The 25,214-nt window shown below is 39.9% G+C and overlaps 1 protein-coding gene and 2 long non-coding RNA genes across 7 annotated transcripts in view; 1 reads left to right on the top strand and 2 right to left on the bottom strand.

Annotated features, from left to right (window-relative positions):
- The window catches only part of LOC101926915 (uncharacterized), an 89,185-nt gene extending 77,053 nt beyond the window's left edge, over positions 1-12,132 (bottom strand). The window contains exon 1 of the long non-coding RNA NR_125838.1: positions 12,027-12,132. This is a non-coding gene — a long non-coding RNA (uncharacterized LOC101926915). The remainder of the gene's footprint in view (positions 1-12,026) is intronic.
- RCAN2 (regulator of calcineurin 2) overlaps positions 1-25,214 on the top strand; it is a 271,235-nt gene that overhangs the window by 203,515 nt on the left and 42,506 nt on the right. The window lies entirely within an intron of this gene.
- Positions 21,016-25,214, bottom strand: part of LOC105375079 (uncharacterized) — a 48,136-nt gene continuing 43,937 nt past the window's right edge. The window contains exon 5 of the long non-coding RNA XR_001743802.3: positions 21,016-21,737. This is a non-coding gene — a long non-coding RNA (uncharacterized LOC105375079). The remainder of the gene's footprint in view (positions 21,738-25,214) is intronic.

The raw sequence follows: 25,214 nt of genomic DNA, 5'->3' as shown, positions 1-25,214 counted from the left end.
GGGTGAACTCAAGATCTGCTTTAAAATGGGCAGCTGGGGCAGCCAGCCAGAGTTAAAGCCAGTATTCCCATTCACATCACACCTTACTTGCTGGTGCCTGGGATTCCTTAACGGGAAGGATCCCGCATGAGAGAATAAGCCTCAGAGCCAAGAAAGCTGGTCTACTCTCCAAAAGTTACTGCTATGGTTACTTGTTTCTTTTAATGGTTTAATTTTAGTTGACTGGTTTTTATTAGGTCTTCCCAACAGCCTTCTATCGTTTGTGCAGGTCCTCTCTGGCCCAGCTGCCTGTTGCTGCAACGTGAGAACTTCTGACAGCAAAAAGAGGGAGTCTGCTACTGAAAGCTTGACTGTGTTCTTATTTAAGTCCTTAATTAGGAAGAACGCTCAGGAATATATTCATTGGATGAATAAGAGCAAAACCCTCTCCCCTCCCTGCAAGAAGAAAAGAGAGTGGGGGTTTGGGTGCAGGGAAGGATAGACATTAATATCCTCGGGTCGTATTATTCTTTGTCGTTTACAGCACTTTCATATGAGTAACTTTTCAAATTAGTGTACTAACCCAGTGAGGTAGGAAAGCTGATATCATCACCATCTTACAGATAAGGAAAGTGAGATTTAAGAACAGCTATTTGCTCACAGCACCCACGGCCTCTTCCAGGAATCCCATACTCTTTCCAGAACACCTATAAAAAGAAGCTCCAAGCCAGACCCTGAGGAAAACCTCACAATTTGGCTTTGAATCTTCTCTAAAGAGGTTAAATCTATGACAATGAAAGCCTATTAAATGTGTGTATACTTAAAGATCATGAATATTCTACTTCTGTGAAAAGTTTAGAGTCTAAAATTCAATCAGATGAAGTTCAATGAAAAGGGACCCATAATGGAAGTCATGCTTCTGCTAATGATATCACAGGACAGAGAAATTCGTTTAGTGAAATGTACAAGTAATCTAAGAGTGGAAGACGTGTGTGTATTTTGGGAAGTGGGGGGTAGCACAGAGGGAAAAAGAGAAGGTTTGTGTAAACATTAAACCCTTCCAGGCAGGGGCCTGTGTGATCCATCTTCCTTCACAAAGTGCCCAGCACAGTGTCCAGAACTGGGCTACGTAAGTGTTTGTATAACTGAACAGAAAGTGGAGACCAAGTTCTCCTTTGAAAGTCTAAACAAAAATCCATTTCTGCCACAATGCCATCAGAGGTGTGGTCACTCAGCCCTGCCACCTGTAGAGTCACTCTGTGAACAAGTCAAAGGCCTTGGTGTGCTAGGTGTGTTCTCATCTGTTAGCCTCCGTTTCAGGCAAAGTTTTGTGCCTACCTGAAGGACCTCTTCCCATTCTCCACCATGGCATGATAGCAGGCTCTGCCAGTCACTTCCTAGATAACCACAGTGAGTGAGGTTTCTTTGCCTGGTTGGGTATTGAAGTGCTCTTTCTTTCTTTTTTTTTTTTGAGATAGAGTTTCACTCTTGTTGCCCAGGCTAGAGTACAACGGCGCGATCTCGGCTCACCGCAACCTCCACCTCCCAGGTTCAAGCAATTCTCCTGCCTCAGCCTCCCGAGTAGCTGGGATTACGGGCGTGTGCCACCACACCCAGCTAACTTTTTTGTATTTTTAGTAGAGATGGGGTTTTTCCATGTTGGTCAGGTTCGTCTCAAACTCCTGACCTCAGGTGATCCACCTGCCTCGGCCTCCCAAAGTGCTGGGATTACAGGCGTGAGCCACCACTCCCGGCCTTGAAGTGCTCTTTCTAACTGCCTGGGCATGTCTGTTCTTCAGTCCACAGAGAGAAACTGTTGGAATATTCTCTAGCTTCCCAGAAGTTCTGTACATGTCTTTACCTTCTCAAGAATCATGCCAATCCTCCCACCCCAGCCTGGATAGTCCATCTTTATTCTGGCCAAAACAGAATTTGATGCCTTTCACTTCTCCTTTCTCATATATTTCTGCTATCTGTCCTTAGAAATCAGCATAATTGTGTAAAGATAGTACATTTGTGGGAAATTTTATATCCTTACTTTTAGGGAATGAGAAGAGATGCATGATATATAATAGTGTGAAAAGAAAAACCTTAGACAAATTAAATTTAAGAGTTTAATGAAGCAAAGAACAATTTGCAAATTGCCACCGCCATGTAGTCAAAAAGGATTTATGGAGAGAAAAAAGAAAATGACAAACAGAAAATGCTAGTGAGGTGCAGAAACAGCCAGATTGGGTATAGGTCAGCATTTGCCTTATTCGAACAGTTTGAACAGTTGGAGGCCTTTGGCACAAACTCGCTGACTGGAGTTTATAGTCTGTTTATACATTCAGTTAGGTTACAGTTCACTATGCATGGAGAAACCTTTAGGCCACACTTCAAATATGTAAGGAGGCAACTTTAGGCTAAACTTAATTTTACAATACCTGTTTACAACAGCTGCTACATATTAATAATATTCTATTGGCCAGGAGCTTCATGCAGCTCATCTTTAATTCTCACAATAACCATGCAAGGTAATCATAAATATACCATTTTACAGCTTCAAAAACAGTGACCCAAAGAATGGGCTCCTTACCTAACATCTGTGTAAATGGCATAACCAGAAGTCCAGTCTGTCTAACTCTTGAGCTGCCTCTAGAAAAAGTAGGCCTATGTAACAAATCTGCACATCCTACACATGCACCCTAGAACTTAAAATTAAAATTGAAAAAAGATTCCAGTAACATTAGACAAGAATAAAAACTCTTTTAAAAGATAATACCCAATAATAGCAAAGATCTGGTAGAAAAATAAAATGATTCAATACCAAAAAAAGAAATAAAGGAAAAGTAGGTAGGGAAGACATTTTCATAGTCAAATTCAGGATGTACTTACCTTCAAGCAACTAGAAGAACTTACCAAGAAATGCTTGTTGGTCACCTACTAGAGAGGTCTTTCTCAAACTGACCCATGTATCACCTGCATCTGGGCCTCATCCCAGAACCCCTCGATTAGAACCTCTTTATTTGCGACTTTGCAATTGCCATTGCTAACAGCTCTCCAGGTAATTCTTACATTACCAGAGAACTGTGCCAGGCCCAGAGCCTAGAGCAGTGTTTCTCAAAATGTAATGTTGGACCACTTGCATAAGATCACCTAGAGCAATTGTGTAAAATCCAGAGTCCCAGGCTCCATCTCTGGAAATAGGGTGGAGCCCAAAATTGATTTATATTTTTAAACATCCATTTGATTAAGCATCACATGTTATCATTAATGGTGCAATGGTGGTGAACATTACATGTTGCATAATTTTACGCATACACACACATAACTAGAGATTCAATAAGGTTTTAGGGTATGTGTGTGTGTGCATTTCTAGGTGTAAAGAAATTATGACCTGAAATTATTAGTGAACTAATATTTGAGAAAGCAAAGCAAACATGTATAGATCAACAAATAGATGGTATATATAGATAGTGTATAATCAAATGCTACCTGTGTGGTACAGAATCTGATTTCAGTGGAAGTAGATAAGAGAACAATTAATGAAGGTTGAAAGAATCAGTGCTGTTTTTATGGAGAACGGATGTCTCAACAGGCATCTTAACAGTTGAGTATTTAATACTTTCCCATATCCCATAATTCATGAAGATTGCAGTAATATACTGCTTTTCCCAAAATAAACTACAGGAAAAAGGAACTGTGTCAGCTTTTCAGAGACAGAGCTGCAGGAATACAGTAGGCAGGAGTAGCTGGCCCTGAAATGATATAGGCTGTGGATGCCATGCGGCCAGCACTCCATCACAGTGACTCACTCGGGCACCAGCCTGTTCTCACTTGTGTCTCAGGCTCCCCCCTCAGCAGAAAAGCTTGAGGACCACTTAGGAATAGTCATGATGCAAATGTCAGTTTCTCCTTTGCTGCAGCAGTACCAAAATCTTAACAAATGAGCTGAGTCACCTGGGGAGCTCCTGCAAACTACACATTCTGGTCTATTGGGTTTTATTAAAATTAGTGATTTTTCTTCCTTTTACCATTTTGGAGTTCATGTTTGCAAGTCATTCCCTTCTAGATAGTCATGACATTATCTCCCCCTTCTGGGACAGCAGAAACATTGGAGTGGCCTCACTGGGCTGGATCATTCACCAGCTTTGCAATTACACCCCCACATCCCTGGAGTCACAGAGTGGAATAGTGATGCCCACTCTGCCGAGACTAAATATCCTTACTCCAACCTAAGAGCCACCTTTAGGCTCTAAGGCCTTTCAACTAAATTGTTATTTGAGTTCTTAACCTTTCACCATATTTTGCAATGAGAAGGTACAAATTTTCTGCCCACATTAACTCTATCGCTTTATCCTTTAGGGCAACTGTTCAAGCTATTTCTCATTTATTAAAAAAAAATTATCAAGTATTCTCTGATGTTATAAGCCAAATTTACGAGAATATAATTTTTAAAATTCATACAAGTCACATTTCCCAATTTTTCTAAACCATCTGGCACCTGCAATCTAACCAACTGCCACCTAGATTCAGCAACTAGGTCTTTGGAAAGGTTTGTGGAGTGTTAAAAATCCAAGCACACAGTAGGACTTTGCTCAGTACTTAAAAATTCTACTACTTCTACCACGAGGAAAGCTCATTTTGCTTCTCTTCATTTTAAATCAGTGTGATGAGTTTGTAATATTCATACTTATATTTAATTGCAGTAGTAAAGAGTTATTTTAAAACCTCATAATAAAATGGGAAAGTATTCTAATATCTCAGTTAACCAGGCCTTTGGGAAACTGATGTGTTCAAATTATATCCAAAGGATTATGTTGATGACAACCCACCATCAAGGCAGTCCTGAATATTGAGGACAAAGAGAAAGTATCTTGAGCAAGGCTGCACAGATACCTAGGGAGGGAAGTCAGAAAATCAGAGTTCTTGTCCTTGCCACTGACTTCCTGGGTATAAGTCACTTTTCCTCTGGGCCCTGGCTAATATTAGTTTACATTGGTATGTGTGTACCAGATTCTTGAAATATGGTTGGATTTTTTTTCTTAATTAGAGAGAGACAGGGTCTTTGCTGCCCAGGCTAGAGTATAGTGGTACAATCACAGCCCACTGCAACCTCGATCTCCTGGGCTCAAGTGATTCTCCCACCTCAGCCTCCTGAGTAGCTGGGACTACAGCTGTGTACCACCATGCCCAACTAATGTTGTTTTAATAGGTAGGGTCTTGCTATGTTGCTCAAGCTGGTTTTGAACTCCTGGGCTCAAATGATCCTCCTACCTCAGCTTCCCAAAGTACTGGGATTACAGGTGTGAGCCACCACGCCTGGATTGAATATGTTTATATTGGTAAATATCCTTTACCCAGGGGCCCTGCAGTGCTGCCTTGGTCACTCAGCCCCTTTCCTGAGATTCCCTGGATTTCTCCATCATTCAGTCAGTAAAGGCTTATTGCCTCCCTGCCAGCCCCCGGTCAGGCAGTTTCCATGCAGAAAGATTTCCAAATATTTTGAGCATCACCTGTGCTCTGGGCTTAAGATTTCTTACTTCTGGAATGAAAGTTTAGAATAGATAACCCTAACTCTGGAATGCTGAGGTTTTATGTTGTACGTTTATTATTTAGAGGAAAAGGCAGATTTGACTTGGGGCCAGAACCCTGCCTTTGCCTCTGGAATTGGCTTTTTGGAAAGGTGTAAAACTATTTGCATTGAAAGCCAGGAAGGACCTGAAAGCAGTTCTCTGCCAAATTGATCTGTACACTTTGGCCATCAATAACTTCAAGTATAAGATTACTTATGGGGCCATCATTGAATCATAAAGATGAACGTCTCCTCCTAAGCTCTAGATCAGTGGTCCAAAAACAGGCTTTGGTTTCACAGTGCGATTTAGAAATGAACACAAACATATTCAGTAGATGAAGATAGAGGGTCATCTTTTCAGAGAAATTTAAGGATTAAGACAGCATCATTTTCTCTTGACCAGTGTGACCTTTTGTTTGTTTGTTTGTTTGTTTGTTTGTTTTGAGACAGAGTCTTGCTCTGTCACCCAGGCTGGAGTGCAGTGGCACGATCTTGGCACCAGCCACCACAGCCGGCTAATTTTTTGTTTTTTTTTTTTAGTAGAGATGAGGTTTCACCGTGTTAGCCAGGATGGTCTCGATCTCCCGATCTCGTGATCTGCCTGCCTTGGCCTCCCAAAGTGCTGGGATTACAGGTGTGAGCCACCGTGCCCAGCCCAGTGTGACCTATTTTTGAGGTATCAGTAACCACAATAATAGAGCAGTAACACAAGTTGTATGTTGGATATTTGAGTGGTCTGTTTTGGATAATATATGCTTATTAGGGGAAATGCGAAGTAGTTGTTCTAAAATATGTGTCATTCAACTTTCTCTTCTATGCAATTAAAACATTTTAATTGGGCAGTTTAGGACTTTGCTAGGCCCTGGGCAAATAGGAATGAACAAGACAGAAAGTGTCCCTGACTTTATAGTGCTTCCAGTATAGGTGGTACTCAGTGAAAGAAAGTTACCATTAATGATGATAATGGGAGGCAGATTTGCACAGTGGTTAATGGATGCTAGAGAAAAACTGCTACTTATTAACTGTGTGACCTTGGATAAAGTAATTACCTAGCCACTTATAAGCCTTAGTTTCATTATCTGTAAAATGGGGGCACTAATATTTCCTTAGGTCTGTTAATAAAATCAAAAAGATCAGGCCTTATAATATCTTTGGAACAATGCCCAACATATAGTAACTGTTCAACATATGGCATCTCTGATTATTAATAAATTGGAATCACTAATAAAAAGAAAAATAACAAAATAAGAGAAAAATGTTTAGCTCAGTTCTCTTTTTCAAGCTCTCTCTGGAGCACAGAGGAACCCATTTTCTATAGGCTAATTGATACTGTTTGAAAGCTGCTACATCACTGGTGAGCCTTCCTTTTCTCTGATTAAATAATTCAAATCTCCCTTTTCACTTGTTTTAAAGTCATGCCTGCTTTCTTAACCACAAGTAGCTTCTTATTGTTTGAATACACTTTTTGAAGAGTGGATTGAAACCCATAGCTGCTTAATTGTCACTTGGGAAACTTGTTTAAAACATTCATTCCCAGATGGCAACTCCAGGAATCTGTGGTTCTGATGAGCAAACCAAGGTATTTTCATGCACAGACCAATTGTAGACACAGTTTGAGAAATTCTGCTCGTGACAGCTGGTCTTGCAAACCCCTATAATAAAGGCAGATGCCATAAACTGGACATATGTCCAGGGCTGTTATTAGTCAGCGCATGCCTGTTGAAATGTCAAGCTAATTCCCTACTGCCATTCCTAGGTAGCTGTGGCCTGGTGTCTCTGACTTTTCTTCTCCCCCTCCCTCACTCTACCCCAAACCTCAGCTGCCTGACCCTTTCTCCAGGAACCTCCTGACCAACCAACAACTAAAGAAGTAACACCTAGCACAGCATTGGCCTCTGCCATAGGGGTATGGCTAATGCGTACTCTAGAACTGTACTGATTGATAATATTTTTAACATTGCCTTTGGAAATGATTGATTTAGGGAAAAGATGACATCTCTGTTCCTCAGTAAAATAGCCACACATACACACACACACCCCTACACACATGCCCCACATGTATGCACATGCATGTGTGTCCACATACCTCCCTGAGACATCTCACTAACCACTCTACTAAGACTCCTTCAGTTTAATTAATACCCAACTTCTTTATTGAAGAGGAGAAGGAATGGATGGCACAGGCTTCTGGCCCACTGGTTATGATGAATGAACTTCTCTACCCTGATATTTCATAAAAAGCTACAGCATCTTGGCAGTATTCTCCAAGGCTTCATTGGAACCAGCAGAATCCCCTTTAAAATACAGCTTTATAGGGAGAGAAAGCCCTCTTAGTTATTTACGTTATAACATGGTTATTGGGTATCTGGAGGTGCCTGCTATGTACTCCTGGGAGTTTAATTTGCCTTGCTGTGTGTGCTTTTGTGTGTGTGTGTGTGTGTGGTCTTCTAATCTGAGTGTTCATCCTTACTATGTTCACCTAAGTTTTCAGCAAAGATCCTTTTAACCGTTAAGGGTTGACATCTTGCAAAGGTTCAATGTTCTGGTGTGCCAATTCCTGGCTACAACAGATTAAAGTATTCCTAATACTTTTCTGTTCTCATTTTTAAAAAAAATATTTTCAGGAGATGGTAAGAGATTCTATACCTTTAAATGCTCCCTTGAATGGCCTTAGTTCTGACTTCTCCAATTCAAAATGATTAATCACCTCACTTTTACTGCCAAGCCTGGGATATTATGGCACTGCTCAGAGCTAACTTGGTCAAGAGTTTCATCTTTCCTGGAATTGTCCTTGGTATTTCAAGCTTTGTGTGGGGTAGGCAGCATTTTACTAGGAGTACTAAGGCATGGATTCTGTTCCTAGTTCTACCATTAACTTGCTCTGTGATCTTGACCAAGACTCTGAATCACTCTGTGCCATAGTTTCATCATTAATAAGGATGATAACAACAACCACTCACAGCTACTGAGTTATCATGTGCCAAACACTAACTCATCACTTTATATGCACTAGCTCATTCAGCAACCCTTTTTTGGGGAGTTACTATTCATCAGACACATCTTGTGCATTATCTCATTAAATTCTCATAACAATCCTATGAAGGAGCTGTTCTTATTATTCCTATTTTGCAGATGACAAGACTGACAGTTACAAGGGCAGAATTACTTGAGCAAGGCTCTCCTACAGTAAGTGGCAGATCAAAAAGTTGAACCCAGTATGGTCTGATAACCAAGCCAATGTTTATAGCCACATATATACCATACTTCCCCCGATTCAACTGACAAATGGAGATGGGTGTGAAGAATACTTTGATCAAAGATCCGGAGGCAGGAATGTACAGAGCAGTGCTTCTCAACAGGGAGCAATTCCTCCCTTCCCAGGAGACATTTGAGAGTATCTGCAAACACGTTGTCACAATTAGGGGGATGCTACTGGCATTTAGTGGATAGAGGCCAGGGCTCTCACCAAACATCCTACAATGCACAGGACAGTTCACTGTAACAAAGAATTATCTGGACCCAAATGTCAATAGTGCCAAGGTTAAAGCAAACCTCTCGAGAGCAAGACTATTCTGCTAGTGTATCTCAAAAGAAGGAGACAATTGGGCACTCTTGGTATTGCCTGGTTGCTAATGTACCCACAAATGTCCATCAGGTTATGAGGAATTGAAACTGTCAGGATATGGGGTACAGTGAGAATCAACAGCTCTTCTTGCTGGCAAGCAAGACTTTGGCTTTTATTAATCAAGTTTAATCAAGATGGATAGAATGGGAAGGTCTTCAAACTATGTGAATTCTCACATTACACCAAAAAAATTTAGTACCTATTCAAGGGTAAGAACAAACCAACTAACCCCTGGCTACATATTAGAATCATTTGGGAAGCTTTTTAACATACCATTGCTCAGGTTTCAACCCAAGAGATTCTGGTTAACTTGTCTGGTATGGCCTAGGTGGTTCCAACGCATAGCCAAGATTGAGAGTCTCTGACTATATTAGATCAAGGTGTGCAGTTAAGGAGTAGAATTTGGATGAAACAGCAGCTTTAGGGATGAGTTGATAAGAAAATGAGCATCCAGTACATGGAATTTTAAAATATTTGCAACAGGGTTCCAGAGATGTATTGCCCGAATCTAATCATGAGGAAACAGCAAACAAATCCAAATTAAGGGACATTGTACAAAATACCTGGCCTGTACAATACAAAGATGTCAATGTCAAAGAGTGAGGAATGTTCCAGATGAAACGAGACTAAAGAGAGATGATAATTGTTCAATACATTATGTGTGATTTTCTTGTGTTATAAAGGAACACTAATGGGACAATTGGCCATAATGGAAAGTGGTTTATAGATTATAATATTGTATCAGTGTTAACTTCCTGGTTTGATAATTGTACAGCAGTTATAGAAGAGAATGTCCTTGATTTTAGTAAATATATAAAACATTTTAGAGGTAAAAGGGCATAGATCTGAAACTTTTCTCAAATGATTCAGGAATAAAGTGTGTGGGTTTTTTTTGTGTGTATGTGTGTGTGTGTGTAAAGGATGGGTGGGACAAAAGGATAAAGAAAATGTCGTAAGATATGCATATTGGGGAATCTGGATGAAGGGTATATAGGAATTCTTTGTATTACTCTATTTTTGCCACTTTTCTCTAAATCTTGAAATTATATCAAAATACAAAGTTAAAGTAAATTACTTTAAATGGTAATAAAAGAATTCCTGTCTCCAGAGTCCTTTTGGGGGCTAAGATACTTGTCTGCATTTCATGGATGTCTTAGGTGACATCTTTTGTTCAAAGAAGAGGGAATGGATAGAAATGGGCAAGAGGTATCCTGAAGATTATCAGGTAATTATTATTATTTTATAATGAGGGAAAATTAATTGTGACTTTCAAGCTAGGAGATTCCCCTAAACAGGTTTTCTGATAGAGCTAAGTTACCTCTTAAAGCGCCTCCGTCTTTAAACATCTAATGTCAAGTCAGGTTCATCTAAGTCAGAATAGTGACCTGAAGAGCTACAGCTACTTTTAGTACTTTGTCTCGGAGAATGCAGTTTCCCTCTTTTTAGATCCTTTTATCATAAGGTGGGGTGAGGGCATGGGAGGAGTAGCTACTGAAGAAGACAGAAATAGATTAAATATTCAATTGAGTAAAACCCTTTAAAGCACTCCCTTCCCCATGACCACCCACACCCTGCCCCATCTATGCCTCCCTCTGGCATAAATAAAAAATATTTAGGTGGTGAAAGGGGGTGCAGGAACTGTTCCTTCTTTATAGACCAAAAAAAATTAAGTAAAATTAAAACCTACTTTCTATAAAAAAAAAAAGTTTTAAAAAGTGAAGTCAATGAATGTTTATGGGCACAAAATTTATTGTCTACTTCGAAGAAAGTGATTTATTTTTACATTGTTCTTCATGATCCATTGATAGGGCAACCACCCACCCCAACTGGCCCAGGACAGTTCTTCTGGGTACTAGTCCTCCTACCATAATTATCAACACCTTCTTTTACACTGAAATGTGTCTTAGTTTGAATATTTAGTTCTATAGTCATCTACCTATAGAAAAAGCCATTTCTCCTCCTATGAGAAAATAATTTTTACCAAGAATGGTATTTTACCCAGATCACTGGGCTTCCTAATAGGAAAATTAACAAGATCAGGTAAATAGCCATGTGGAAATCTGAGCCCATTTGTGATAGAACAGAGATGGATGTACAAATAGAAAACCAACACGTTCCACAAATGAAACAATGAAAGACTTGAGAACAGACAATCAAAGGGGACAGTTTTGCTGTTTCTTTTTTCCTCAACCACCATTCTAAATTACTTTTTTGATAGAACAAAACAATGTTTTATTCTTGCCCTTGCAGGCAGAGGCTGCATTGCCAGCATGCATTTGTCTTCCATTTCCACATAAAGGCCGGATAGTACTGATGGTATCTGCTTAAGAACTTAATAAAACTCACACCTAGTTTCAGGGGAAGTCAACCCAGGCATCTGTTTGGAGGCTGCCACTCACCTCTAGCCCTGTCTAGCTCACAAAATGACATACATGTTTGCTGCTCTGTTCAACCTATCTGGGAAGCAAAGGCTCCATCAAGAGGAAATAAACTGTAGCTGATACATGGCCAAGAGGATGATTTAATGCAGTCCAGAGAGCTTTCAGAGCAATTTCAACTCCCATGCTTGAGTGTTGAAAAAGTGTGACTGCAGTTTAAAGTCCTTATGTACGAGCTTATGGGACAGCTTCTTTCAAATACAGACAGGTTTTTGTATTTAAAATATTCCCCAAAGTAGCATTTTGTGGGAAAGACTGTGTATAACCCTTCAGATCTGAAACAGGGACAGTTTGATGGTGACTAGATTAGAGTTTAAACACGTTCTTTATGTTTTGGCCAGTGCAGATTGACAGGTCTCATGGATGCCTCTTTTGATGGTGGGATATTTAAATCATAGGACCACAGAGCTCCTAGTTGTGGCCATACCTTACATACTCCTGGACACAGTTGCTGTTTCTTGTGGTGGGGGCTTGTCTCTCCTCAGAGCTTGTGTCGTGGCAAAGTATACTCTATGATGGGCACTGCTGCTGATGCCCATAATTGAAGGCAGATATTCCGAGGAAACCTCTCATGATGTAATAATATCCACTAGAATTCTACACACCAACCCTGCATAGTTGGTTTTTGTTTTGTTTTGTTTTTAGACAGAGTCTCACTCTGTCACTCAGGCTGGAGTGCAGTGGCACAATCTTGGCTTACTCAGCTCAATGCAACCTCCACCTCCTAGGTTCAAGTGATTCTTCTGCTTCAGCCTCCCGAGTAGCTGGCACTACAGGTGCACACCACCATGCCTGGCTAATTTTTGTAGTTTTAGTAGAGATGGGGTTTCACCATATTGGCCAAGCTGGTCTCGAACTCCTGACATCGTGATCCACCCCCCTTGGCCTCCCAAAGTGCTGGGATTACAGGTGTGAGCCACCACGCCTAGCCCAAATATTCTTCATTTGGGAAAAGAACCCACCTCACTAAAATGGTGATGACCTCATAGTGGATGTTCCTTTACTGTTGTTGCATTTGTGGAACATCTTCCATACTTTAAGAAACTTTCTGGTCGCATCTGATAATTTTTATGTGGCATTTGCACTGATAGAGCATGAGAAATTAACCAAGCTCTAAGACGGAATAGTGGAGAAGAGCCTGTGTCTCAATAGCTGTGTAGCAAAATAAAGGTCTTAGCTCTGTGGCCGTGCTACAAGCACTTTGTCATCACTAGCCTCTGACAATCAAATAGCTTTTCTTTCTCAAGAATAAAAAACTAGGTGATGCTTATACCAAGCCAACAAAAAAGATTTTATGATTTTTAGTGTCCAACCATTAAAAGAACAATGACTTTGGGTGCCATCTGAGTGGCTTAGAGGAGGTCTCTATTTGAGAGAAGATGGTGGAGCCAAGTCCAGTGTTGGCAAACTCACCAACTGTTTTGCATTGTGATTGCATTCTCATCATGAGCTTTAGTGGGGCATAGAGGCTACAGACTTCAAAGGCAATTGGCTCAGGGAAACAAAAGCAATAATACCCTTTATTTTTTGTAGCAAAAATAATATCTACTGTAAAACCCTAGTCTGCTGATCATAAGAATATAATCTTAGCCACCTCAGGGTTTTCTCAGTCAATTCAGACCACTCCCAAACAGATGCTGAATTTAAAACACTTACACATGATTCCTGATCAACTGTGGAAAAAAAAAAAAGGTGATGATTGCACCACTGTACTCCAGCCTGGGCAACAGAGTGAGACCTGTCTCGAAAAATAAATAATAAATAAAATGAAACCCTTATACATTGTCAAAATGTTGAGATATGGTTGTTAAGAGTGACAGTGACCTTGTTTAAATTTAGCCAATCAGTATCCGCCACTATATTCTCAGCCTGCTGGTTCCAGTCATCTGCATATATTCCTCATGGCAGGAAGTGCCCATGTTTCCATTTGCTCCCCTGTTAAGAGGCCACGTGGTTACCCTCCATCTTCCTTGTCCTGGCCAAAGGGTCTCCTTGGGTATCCTGCTCTCTCAGCCTACCTCTGTACCCCTCTTGGAAAAATTCAGAAAGTACTTGGTGGTTCTTCCATTACACTCTAGAACTATGGGAAATCCACTGGGGCTGTCTCGGGACCTCTCTGCCTAGATGTCCACACAACCATGTCTGCTCTACTGTTAACATAGGACATGGGAGAGGGATTCTGGAGGCTGGCTGCTTTCCTGGTCACTCCTCCCTCTCCAGGTGGTGAGGCACAGGTGCTGTCTGTTTCAGATTTCTCAACTCACTTGGATCCCAGAATTTTACCACCCTTTGAAGGTTGTGACCAAGATGGGGCGGGGGGATGCAGAGCCCATACTCAGAGACCTACATCAGCATACAACCTTATTGCTCCCTTCTCTAACTCTCCTACTTTTCCCTAGTCCAGAGAATTTTTATCTTCTCTTTGATGGAACAACTGTTTCTGCAAATATACCTCCAAATATTTTGTGCTAGCAGCTGTACCTTAGCTTTTGAACCCAAGGCCAAGAATCTGACCTTTTGTTTTCTGCTTCCACAGTTGAGGCAGTAGATGACCTATATATAGCTACCTGAATAGAGTAATGGGATTCAGTGAAAGAAACCATCAATTAATATATTCCTCTGCAAATGCAAACAGCATTCCAAAAACAGAAGTTCTCGAGCAAACACTTTCCCCTTATCAAAGGTTTGCAGGTTGAATACCTTCTTGTCTTAAGTAAGCTTTGTGTTAATATGTGAACCACAAACAGGAAGGCAGCCAAAATGCTGCTGGAAAGTAAAAGATAAAATAATCAGAGTCCAAATTTTGCTTGCTGTGTGATCCATAGTAAACCTCCATGCTGTGCTCCATTCAGCTGACTCCTCATCATCTTTCTCAGCATCTTATGTACCCAGCCTTTCATAGAGACGACTACAGGCCAACTTTGCCCTAAGAACAAAATGCAAGGATTAGGCTTGTTCACAAAAGAAACACACAACTCATGATTTAAAAAAAAAAGAATCTGCCACACTCTTACAGCTCTCTAAAAAGGAAATGATCATGATTAGCTCAACAGCTACATTTTCATTTAGAGAAAATGCCCATGCCATAGATGGACACAGCCATTCAGCCAAATCAATGTTGATTAATCTCTTCTGCATTATATAAAGAGAAAATACCTAATGGTCCTGAGATATTTATAATTCTATTTTTATCTGTTCATGTTTATTATTTATGCATTTTTACAATGCTGCACAAGATTTTTTTCTCATGTGATAAAGGAGCTATGGTCATAACTTTTAGTTATTCCAACTAGAATGACGAGATTAACTTCAGCAAAGGAAAATCACTTAAGCTCCTTAAGTCATATTTTCTTCATCTGAAAAGTGGTAATAGTAATGTTTCCTCTGTGTACCTCAGAGGGTTATGAACATCAATGATATAATCAATATCAAAGGTAGACAACACATGTGAAAGCAACTTTTAAACCCTGAAGTGCTACGCAAACACCATAATGTTAATGTTATCATAATTAGTAGTATACAAAACATGTTTTCATGGATGAAACAGAGAGAGCAGAGAAATTGTGAATTCTGTGCCCTCATCTTTAGTGGAAGCAAGACTAAATGTCAGAAAGTCTGTTAACCCAATTTCCCTGCTGGCCAAAAAGAACCATGTTGGTCCATCAGGAAGGGCACTAGAGAAAATAGTGTGAGCGTGAGCTGCCCACTTCCAAGATGTTGGAACCGCAACTCCTGAAATTCAAAATACCACAGCTTTGGGTACCATTCCTTAAAACAAAAACAAACACAGACATAGCTAAGGTCCATGAAGGCTTATATAAGGCAGGACAGGTAAAATATTGAAGAATATTTGTAAAGATCAGACACCTTTAAACTCTAAGCAAAACAGCTACAATGAAAGACGCTTAGAGGGGCTTAGATACGGTGAACATGGAACTTATTCATAACATCTTGGAACCTCCATTTAAAACTTGCAAAAGACAAACTGAGGACCAAATGAAAAAGGAAAGAGTCTATACTTTTACAACAAAGTATCTGTTGAATATAAAATGAACTTACGAAATCAGTTTCTTCTAGGAGTGATACAGACTGAAAATTATTATCTTAATTCAAAAAAGTCCTATTTTTAACATTTGTTTTTTCCAATTAAACATTACATGTTTACAGAAAAATTAAAGAGTATGACCAAAAAGACAAAGAATGTTAACACAGTTTTATAACAGAAAAGCATTTTAACATTTTGATGTATCTTTTTCCAATTGTTTTGTTTTATGTATTGTGTGACATTTAATATACATAAAAGTAGTTATGCATCTATATATATGTGAGTTGTGAAGCATAATGAAATAAACCTCTATAAACCTACCACCTAACAGGATTAAGTCATTGTCCCTTATTTCAAGAGGCCAGCAATAGTTTCACAAGGGGTAGACTCTTTAAAGAAGCACAATAACTTGTTACAGGTTCTATGATGACAGAATGTACAAGGTTCAGTAGAGAGTCTAAGGAGGATGTGATCGGTTTCACTCGGCTGAAGGTGAGGGGCAGGTAGAAGTAGAACGCCCTTGTAAAGGGTGTAACCCATATTTAACTCCATTTTGAAGCTTTAGGTGATCATTAAGATAATAATATTTTGCCATGTTCATCTTTTTAGCAATATTGGCTATTTTGTATAACAATGGACAGAACTGTGCAAGCATTTGATAGAAAAGGGCACAAGCTTCAGAGACAAACATTGGTGTTAAAATCCCAGCTATACTGTCACTAGCTGAGTGGCTTTTGGCAAGGTTCTTAACTTCTTCACAATTAAAAAGTGATAATATCTGTTATTGTTTTGTGATATAAAGCTTATATCTGAAATCTGAACAGTGTTAAAGGCTGGCTTTACCTTGGCCCAATTACTACAGCACAGAGTCTCGTCACCTACTTGGCTGCTCATTATAGTGGTGCACATGACACTGGCTAGTTTTTCAGAGATGGGGAAACAGTTAAACCTAAAAGAGACTGGTGTACAAAATACAGTATTATGTGTTAATTCAGCATGAGATGTACTTCTTTCTACTTCCCAGAATAATCGTGAACATTATCCAGGTTATCCCTACTACCACTACCACGAGTAAGGGAAAGGAAGCAAGAAAAAAGAGAAAGAAACCAACATTTACTGAGCACCATGTGCCAAGTGCTTTGCAAGTATCCTGTTATCTAATTTTTATGATAATCTTCAAATTTTTGTTATACAGCTGCAGGGATGGAAATGTGGTGGGATTAGGTACTGGCCTTAGTTCACCAGTGGATTTGTTGTCTGTGGTTGGGTAGCTGAGATGGTTAATTATGTGTCAACTTGGCAGTGCCACGGTGCTCAGATGTTTGATCAAACATTGTTTTGGATGTTTCCGTGAAGGTGCTTTTTGGATGAGATTAACATTTAAATTGGTGGGCTCTGAGTAAAGCAGTTTAACCTTCATAGCGTGTGTGGGCTTCATCCAATCAGTTGAAGGCCTTAATAGAACAAAGACTGACCTCTGTGACTAAGAAGTCTGTCATTATACTGTCGTTAGACTGGAGCTGCAACTCATCTTACCTCTCCAGCCTGTTGGCCTACCTTGCAGATTTCAGCCCTGTCAAGCCTCCATAAACCCATGAGCCTCTTCCTTAGAATAAATCTCTTTCTCTCATTAAATAGATGGATGGACAGACAGATAGAGAGATAGGCAGGCAGGCAGACAGATACACATCCTGTTGGTTCTGATTCTCTGGAAAACTCTGTCAAATAGGTAGCAAATTGCCCCAAAACTCAGTGGATTAAAACAACACGTGTATTCTCTCACAGTATGTATGAATCAGGAATCCAGGCATGACTTAATTGGGTCTTTAGCTCAGGGACTCTCACAAGGATGTATCACAGAACTGGCTGTGGCTACAGTCTTATCTCAAGGTTTGACTGGGGAAGGAAGCACTTGTAAGCTCACTCAGTGGCTGTTAGCAGGATTCAGCTCCTCACAGGCTGTTGGATGAGGGCCTCGGTTCCTCTCTGGTTGTTGGCTGGTGGTCACCCCCTGTTCCTTGCCATGTGGGGTTCTCCAGAGGGCAACTCACACCACAGCAGCTTGCTTCATCAGAAGAGGCCATTGAGAGGAGCCAGAGAGAATAAAACGAGGAGTCACAGTTTTTTTGTGTGCATTCCTCTCAGAAGTGACAGCCCACCACTTTTGACAGATTGTATTATTTAAAGCAAATCCCTACATCCAGCCCATATTCAAAGGGAGGGGCTTGCATAAGGGCATGAATAGCAGGATGTGAGGATCACTGGGAACCATCTGAGAAGACAGCCAATCACACACAACGAGTAAATACACATCACTGGTTGACGAGAAGCTCAGTCTGACTCTGGGGCCCACCTTCTCCACGATGCCAGCTGCAACCTCGAAGAGCCGAGGGGAACCCTCCACAGGAATCAGCAATGAGAGGGTGGTCTGTGAGCATGGCACAAAGTGGGAGCATCGAATGGCCTAAAAGAATCATCCAGATGGTGCGGAGGCCCATTGCCCCTCAGCAAGGTCCCGGCACTCCTGCAGCCCTCAGAGTCAGCGCTTCTCTCCTCTGCCTGCAGCAGGCTCTACCTGCCCCAGAGTAAAGCCACTCTGGTGGGCTTAGTCCTGGGGCCCTATACTCACTTGACTCCTCCTGGCTTCTGTGTCCTGAAGCCTGTCAGCACTTCCCACCCACAAGCCCAAGCCCCCAGTCTTCCCATCCAGGGTGTAGTGAAGCTGTGATGAGCAGCCCAGATCCTCAAGCAGGCCCGCAGCAATCATTCGCTACCTCTAAATTATGGACAGCTGAATGTTCTCAGCTGAGTCCCTGCATGAGAATAGCCCTTAGCCTTGGAGAGCTGGCATCACCTCCCAGGGCCATGCTCCCTCCCCAGGGATAGCTCTCGACCTGTGACTGCTCCATGAGAGGAGAGGGGAACATAAGATCCTGAACTGGGGGTGCCTGTGAAGGGTACCCCTCCCCTCATTGCCACCTTGAATCTGCAGAGACCTTTGTTGGGACTGCATTGAGTTCAAGTCCTCCCTCTGCCCAATCCTGGGTCCCTCAGGTCTCCACAGGTGTTGATCCTGACAGCACTCCTAAATGAAGCTCCTGTACACAAAACCTCCACTCACAGGCCTCAGCCTACCATCCAAGAAAGGCCTGTATCTGCACAGCTGCAGCTGGCACTCCTCCAGCCGTCTTTACTTACTAGCTTCATTCTAATGTTGTGAATGCATGACCAAGGATCTCCACGCACTTGAGAAGAACCAACAGCAAGATACATAACTAGTGAGATAAACCAAGAGCACAGGTGACCTAGAGTATTCAGAGCTATGCAGAAAGTAGACAAGATCTTTTTTAAAAAAGAGATCTATTTAATATTCGCAGAAAGATTTAACAGGCTATGACAGCTGTAACACAAGAACACAGCTGCTGTGAAAAAGAGAGATATAACAAAATAAGCGTCCCTGTGCTGGCAAAATTTATTGGAAAATTTAGCAGAAGAGTTGAATGGACCTAACTGAAGAATAAGTTAATGATCTGAAAAATAATGTGAAAGGAATTCTGAGAATACAGAGTCAAAAGACAAAGAGATGGAAAATATGGAAGAAAAGAAAAACAGATAATAGATGCAAGAAATTCTATATCCAACTAGGAATGCTGAAGGAAGGTAGTAGAAGCAATGGAGAGGAAGAAATTATCTAAATATGAGTGTGAAGAAACTATGAACAAAGACACAATAAGAGCCCACTGAATGCTCTATAGGAATAGTCAGCAAATTTTTTTCTGTGAAGAACCAGATAGTAAGTAGTTTAAGTTTTGCAGGTAATATTTCTTGACTGTATTGCAGCACAAAAGCTTCAATATGTAACAAAAACACAATACGTGACTGTTTTCCTACAAAACCTTATTAAACATAAATAAGCATCAGGCCAGACTGGGCTTAGTTTGCTGACCCCTGCCTTCCAGAAATAATGGGGAAAAAAATCACACATCTAGTCACATTTTACTAAAAGTTCTGAACTCCAAAATTAGGGAAATTCTGTAAAGCTTCCAAAGACAAAACAAGGCCAGGATCTCACTTGTCTTCTATAACACAGTTGGCTAAAAAACAATGGAGTCATATTCTGGGGAAAATTGAAGTGATTCTTAACCTGGATTATGTTCTAAGTCAAACTATCAGTCTAGTGTGATACACACGTATTTGGCCAGTCAATGACTTGAAATGTTTATCACCTGTCACTATCATGGGAGGAGAGGGCCTACTCAAAGATGTTTTCTCACACAATGTAAAATGTTACTCCAAGAAAGAGGAAGATATGAGATACATGAAACAGCTGAAATAACCCCAGATTTAGATGAAGAGAAATCCAGTTATGACCATTATACAGCAGGTGAAAAACCCGATCCATTGAAAGTGAGACACCAACTCAGAGGGTTCTATGATGAATGACTTTATTAAAGAACACATTTGCTATAATAACACAAATGATAGAATTAGGAACCTGGAAGTTCAATTTTGTGGAGTTACCAATGAGATAATGGCTTATGTCTGCTCTCTTCAACACCAGTAGAAATGCATTTAGGAATTTTAGGAGGAAAAAAATGAGACAGACATGATTGTTTAATGAAGCGAGTAAAAATTTGTGCCGTTAATGAAGTGAATAAAATGGTGTTTTCTGAAACAGCAAATCCAAACTCCCACAGGTCAAGAAACTTAGAGTTGGAATTAAGAGAGTCACTAACTGTTCTTGTAAATTTATTTTTTGTTTATTGCATATATGACCATTACAGTTACTTCTCTATGTGGCTATTTTTTTTTCTACCACTGCTTTTGTTACTTTTATATAATATTTTATAAATTTGCCTTTTTCCATGATTTTATTCTTAAGTAGGCTCAGGTTGTTTTTAAATTAGAAAATAGAAGTCTTAAAATTTTATTTAGATATCGGTATTATAACATCTTCTGATTTTCTTAAGACAGATGACAGATTTTACATCTAGAAACATAAATTTATTTTTCTTGAGATTTGTATTTAAAGTATAGAAGACTCCTTCAGGAAATGAATATTTCTTGTTTTAAAGAAATCTTTTTCTGAAAGTCAGCAATTTCTCATATTTCTTACATTTCTTATTTTATTTTATTTTACACAAGGTCTCACTCTGTTCCCCAGGCTGGCATGATCATGGTTCATTTCAGCCTCAACTTCCCAGGCTCAAATGATCCTCCCACCTCAGGCTCCCAAGTAGTTGGGACCACCAGTGCATGCCACTATGCCCACCTCGTTTTCGTTTGTTTGTTTTGCAGAGATGGGGTCTTCCTATGTTGCTTAGGCTGGTCTCAAACTCCTGGGCTCAAGTGATCTTCTCACCTTGGCCTCCCAGAGTGCTGGGATTATAGGCGTGAACCACCATACCGACCCTCTTTAATTCTTTTTTTCTGATAAACTTAGGTAAAGTTACATGTAATGCTTTTCATTTAATAAAAATATTAACAGTGATTATCTTTAATGTATGGGTCACTTTGTCCTTATGTTTATGTATATTTTTCCAAGTGGTCTACCATGACCATGTTATTTTCTAAAAAGAACAACATTATTCCTTTCGAGTTACAATATCATTCAAAGCTAGAGCTTGGCAAATATATGAATTAGAGGCTTGACGTTACCATCACTTGCCCATAACTTTTAACTAATCACTCAACCTCTTTTAACCTTGGTTTTATGAAATTAAAAAATTGGGTTGAAATTTATATTTGATGATTTTGAAAAAACTTATCCTAGACCTGTTTTTTTGTTTGTTTGTTTGTTTTGAATTGTTCAAACCCTTTGCATCATTTACAAGGTCATACTATATCAGGGAGGATTCTTGATTTTAAATGTCGGTGGAATGTCTCTGGGTTTTGTGTGTGCCTACATTTATGTCCCAAGTTCTATGCAGGTCTGCCTCCGACTGGTGATGGGGCCTTGAGCATGTCATCCCCTGCTCTGTGCTTTGCATCTTTCAACTTTCAAGTCGAGGGGTTGGAATCAGTCGCCTCCAGTGTCCCTTCCAAGAATAAAGGGTAAAATGATGCTGGAGACAAAGCTTGATCACTGGGACCCTGTGGGAAAAGTAGTTACAATTGAGTGAGATCAGGGAATCTGCTGCTTATATCCATGACGCAAAGCCTGAGGATGGTCTCATTCTCATGGATGTACTGCTTCATCTTAAATGTACCAGGATTAGGCAACACAAAACAGCAGAAATAAATTCTTCCGGGGATACTCCTAGGCAGATTGGGGGTCACATTACCAATCAGCTCAGGTCAAAGCTTGTACTATTTGAATGTCTCTGCACATTCTCTTCTTCACTTGTTCATGAGAACTTCCAACAGTGTCCCACCTACCCAATGTGTTCCCTCTTTGTAGTGGGGAGAAAACTCAGTCAAAATAAAGAACGTGCAGATAACATGATAATAATCAAAGGAAAAACAATGTCGTGATTGTAAGAACAAACCAGTCTACAAGCGTTAATGCATTAATTAATGCAAAGAGCTGAAAACTATTAACACCCAAGAACAGTACTGGTAATTCTCAGTAGCACAATTGTATAAATCAGTTTATTCAGAGTCAGGAAGTGCTTAGGTCTTAAATGGTCCAACCCATGTCTTCTAAACTGGTACCTCTTAAACTTCAATGGGCTACTGATTATCTGGGGGGTCTTGCTGAGATAAAGATTCTAAATTAGTAGGTCTAGAGACTTGTGACCTGAGATAATGCATATTTAGGAAGCTTCTAGGAGATGCTGCCACCGCTGATCTGTTATCCATAAGTTGGACTATAAGGATGTAAAGCACTTAGAACAGTGTCTGCATTTAGGAAGAACTGGTGTTAGTGATGATTATTATTTCTACTAGCTGCAAGAATTCCAACTCTCCATATGCTCATGTGCTACAGGAGTACCAAGAGTTGTGCAGCAATAGCCATATTTTTAAGCTGAATAACTAGAATCATTTTGTAAACTCGTTTATGAAATTTTATGGAATAAAAATTTATTCCGTAACTTTTATTAGATCACAAATAAGCAGCCCTTGGTAGAAAGCACATTTATGGAATGAGCATAATTTGCTGCTGAGAACTGCAGAGAAGGCCTGCATATTTTGACAGGTTCCACTCATCAAGAGGACTGTCACGTCTCTCCAGTGAGCTGAGGACCATGGTTTCAGAATTACTAACTCAGAGGACCAACCAGTTGGTGACTACATAACCAGTGTGCCCAAGACAGTCCTGAAGTCACAGCATAATTAATAGCACCCCTCTCCTAGCTTGGACAACGCATTGTGTAGTCATCCTAATTATAGTGGACACTATCTATAAATTACTGGCTTTACCCAGCTTCCCTAGCTGTCCCTAAACTTTCATTTCTACCACATGGAGAAAAGGGAATTCTCAGTCAAATTTTCTTGCTTAGCTGACAATGGTTTTGGCACTGAACGATGCCTATATTCAACAATCCTGAAGTTTTGTTTGTAACACACACACATATACACACACCCATACCCACACACACGGAGGAAACCAAGTTTCATCAATACGATCCAATTTTCAGGTGCTTCTAATCTGAGCTGCTTATGTGAAGCTCTCTTCCTTTTGACAGAACCAGCTCCTCTTTCATTTCCAATCATTTCTCCAGGATTGCACAAGAATTCTTCATACTGCTGCTGGTCTATGAGATATGCATGAGAAAAACTAGATGAAGACAAAAGACGTGTCCATCCCACTGGGTGAGATGCACTGAAAGGGGTGAAGCCATATCGACCCAGCTTCCCTCTGCCATAGATAGTCCTCTGGGATGAAATCTGCATTCTGTCACTGACGAGCTGACCACCTTAGGCAGATCGTTTAATCTCTTTTAACTCGTTTCTTCATCTGCCTCATAAGTGTATTGTGAGAATGAGATAAATTAGCATATGTGCGGGGCCTAGTGTGGACTTGGCATATAGAAAGCATTTTAACCTAAGTCATATCTAATAAATTCCCACATGAAAATGTAACCACTGTGCAAAGTTGCATTCCCAAATTTTGGGCAGTGTTAGCCATAGCCGAAGAGTCGGTTTTGTTTCTAGTAAATCCACTTCAGCCATGATAGATGTAGACTGTCATGTTTCAATTTGGAAATGCTTTCCTTCAGGTCTCTTGTGTCCTGAATCTGTGATGGGTTGAAACAATCATTTTTGTTTCAAATCTTAAGGAATTTGAACATGAGAGATTTAATTTTATATAAGGTTTCATCATTAATATACATTCTTTTCTATGTCATTACATAAAGAACAGAGGAAAACAAATAGAAAAGGTGAGATGGAGAGGAGGAAAAGAGATTAGGAGTATAACAAGCTGCACACTTTCTAAATTTAATGATTGAATCATAAGAAGTTCCTTATATCTGCATCTTAAAAGAATGCAAATGCCATTTTAATTTCATGGGAAAAATAAGTTAAAGGATACCCTGCTGCTTTTGAAAAGCTTACTTTGATCACTTGCCAAATGGCAAAATGAATGGATTAAATTTTAAATCGCCTGTCTTCAAAGGACATGATATGGAACATATTTAGGATTTAGCCCTTTAATTTAACATTAAACTTACTAAAAATGTCCTCATCAATTATTGACAGCTCGATTTTAAAACAGAGCCTCCACCTCAATGTTGAGAAGGTAGAACACTGCTTGTTTTTAGAAGTACATTTTCTACTTCTTTCAGCTACAACACCGGGTAGCATTCTGCAAAGGGGTAATTTTTTAAAGAGGCTCCAAGCTGGTGAGCAGTTTGCCTATCTGCATCAGCAGGCTCATGACCCATCATTTAGAACTCAAATGGAATGTATTCAGTGAAGCATCTTGCTATTAAATAAATGTTGTAAAAAATGTGTGAGTGCTGACTAATACCAAAATCTCAAATCTCATTTGGTTTATGTTTCCTGTGATTCTGTGGGTATTTAATAACAGATGTTATTGTGCAACAAACAAGGCCATTCCCAGCAAAATATGGCTTAGGGCCAACTATTATTTTTATCCTCTTCTTAATCCCTTGAAATACCTTTTTTTTTTTTTAGAAACAACATCATATTAATGTAAATATTTAAATCCTTTGATAATGCTGCTCTCCTGCCTGGAGAATTCTGAAGTCTTCCATTGCCACTTATTTCCACATACACAAATTCTATCCATCTCTTACAGGCCATTTCTTCCTTGACCACCCCCCTATACTAACACACACACACATACACACACACACACACACACATACACACACACACACACATACACACATACACACACATACACACATACACACACACACACACACATACACACACACACACACACACACTCTCTGATGACACATTACTCTGAAATATATTCATAATATTTTAAATAGTAAGAGGAATTGGAGATTAAAGCTCAATAGAAGAAGGGTATTTGGTAGGGGAGTAGTCAAGAAAGACTTCCGAGAAGAAATTTGTATAATTTTTATTTTGGCATCCCTGTTTCATTACATTATGGAGGATCTTAATACATATGTTTAGTGTGCATTTGTTGCT

The sequence above is a fragment of the Homo sapiens genome, chromosome 6, assembly GCF_000001405.40.
Source record: "Homo sapiens chromosome 6, GRCh38.p14 Primary Assembly".
NCBI lineage: Eukaryota > Metazoa > Chordata > Mammalia > Primates > Hominidae > Homo > Homo sapiens.
Note: the sequence above shows the minus strand (reverse complement) of the source record. Positions and strands in the feature narration are given on the sequence as shown.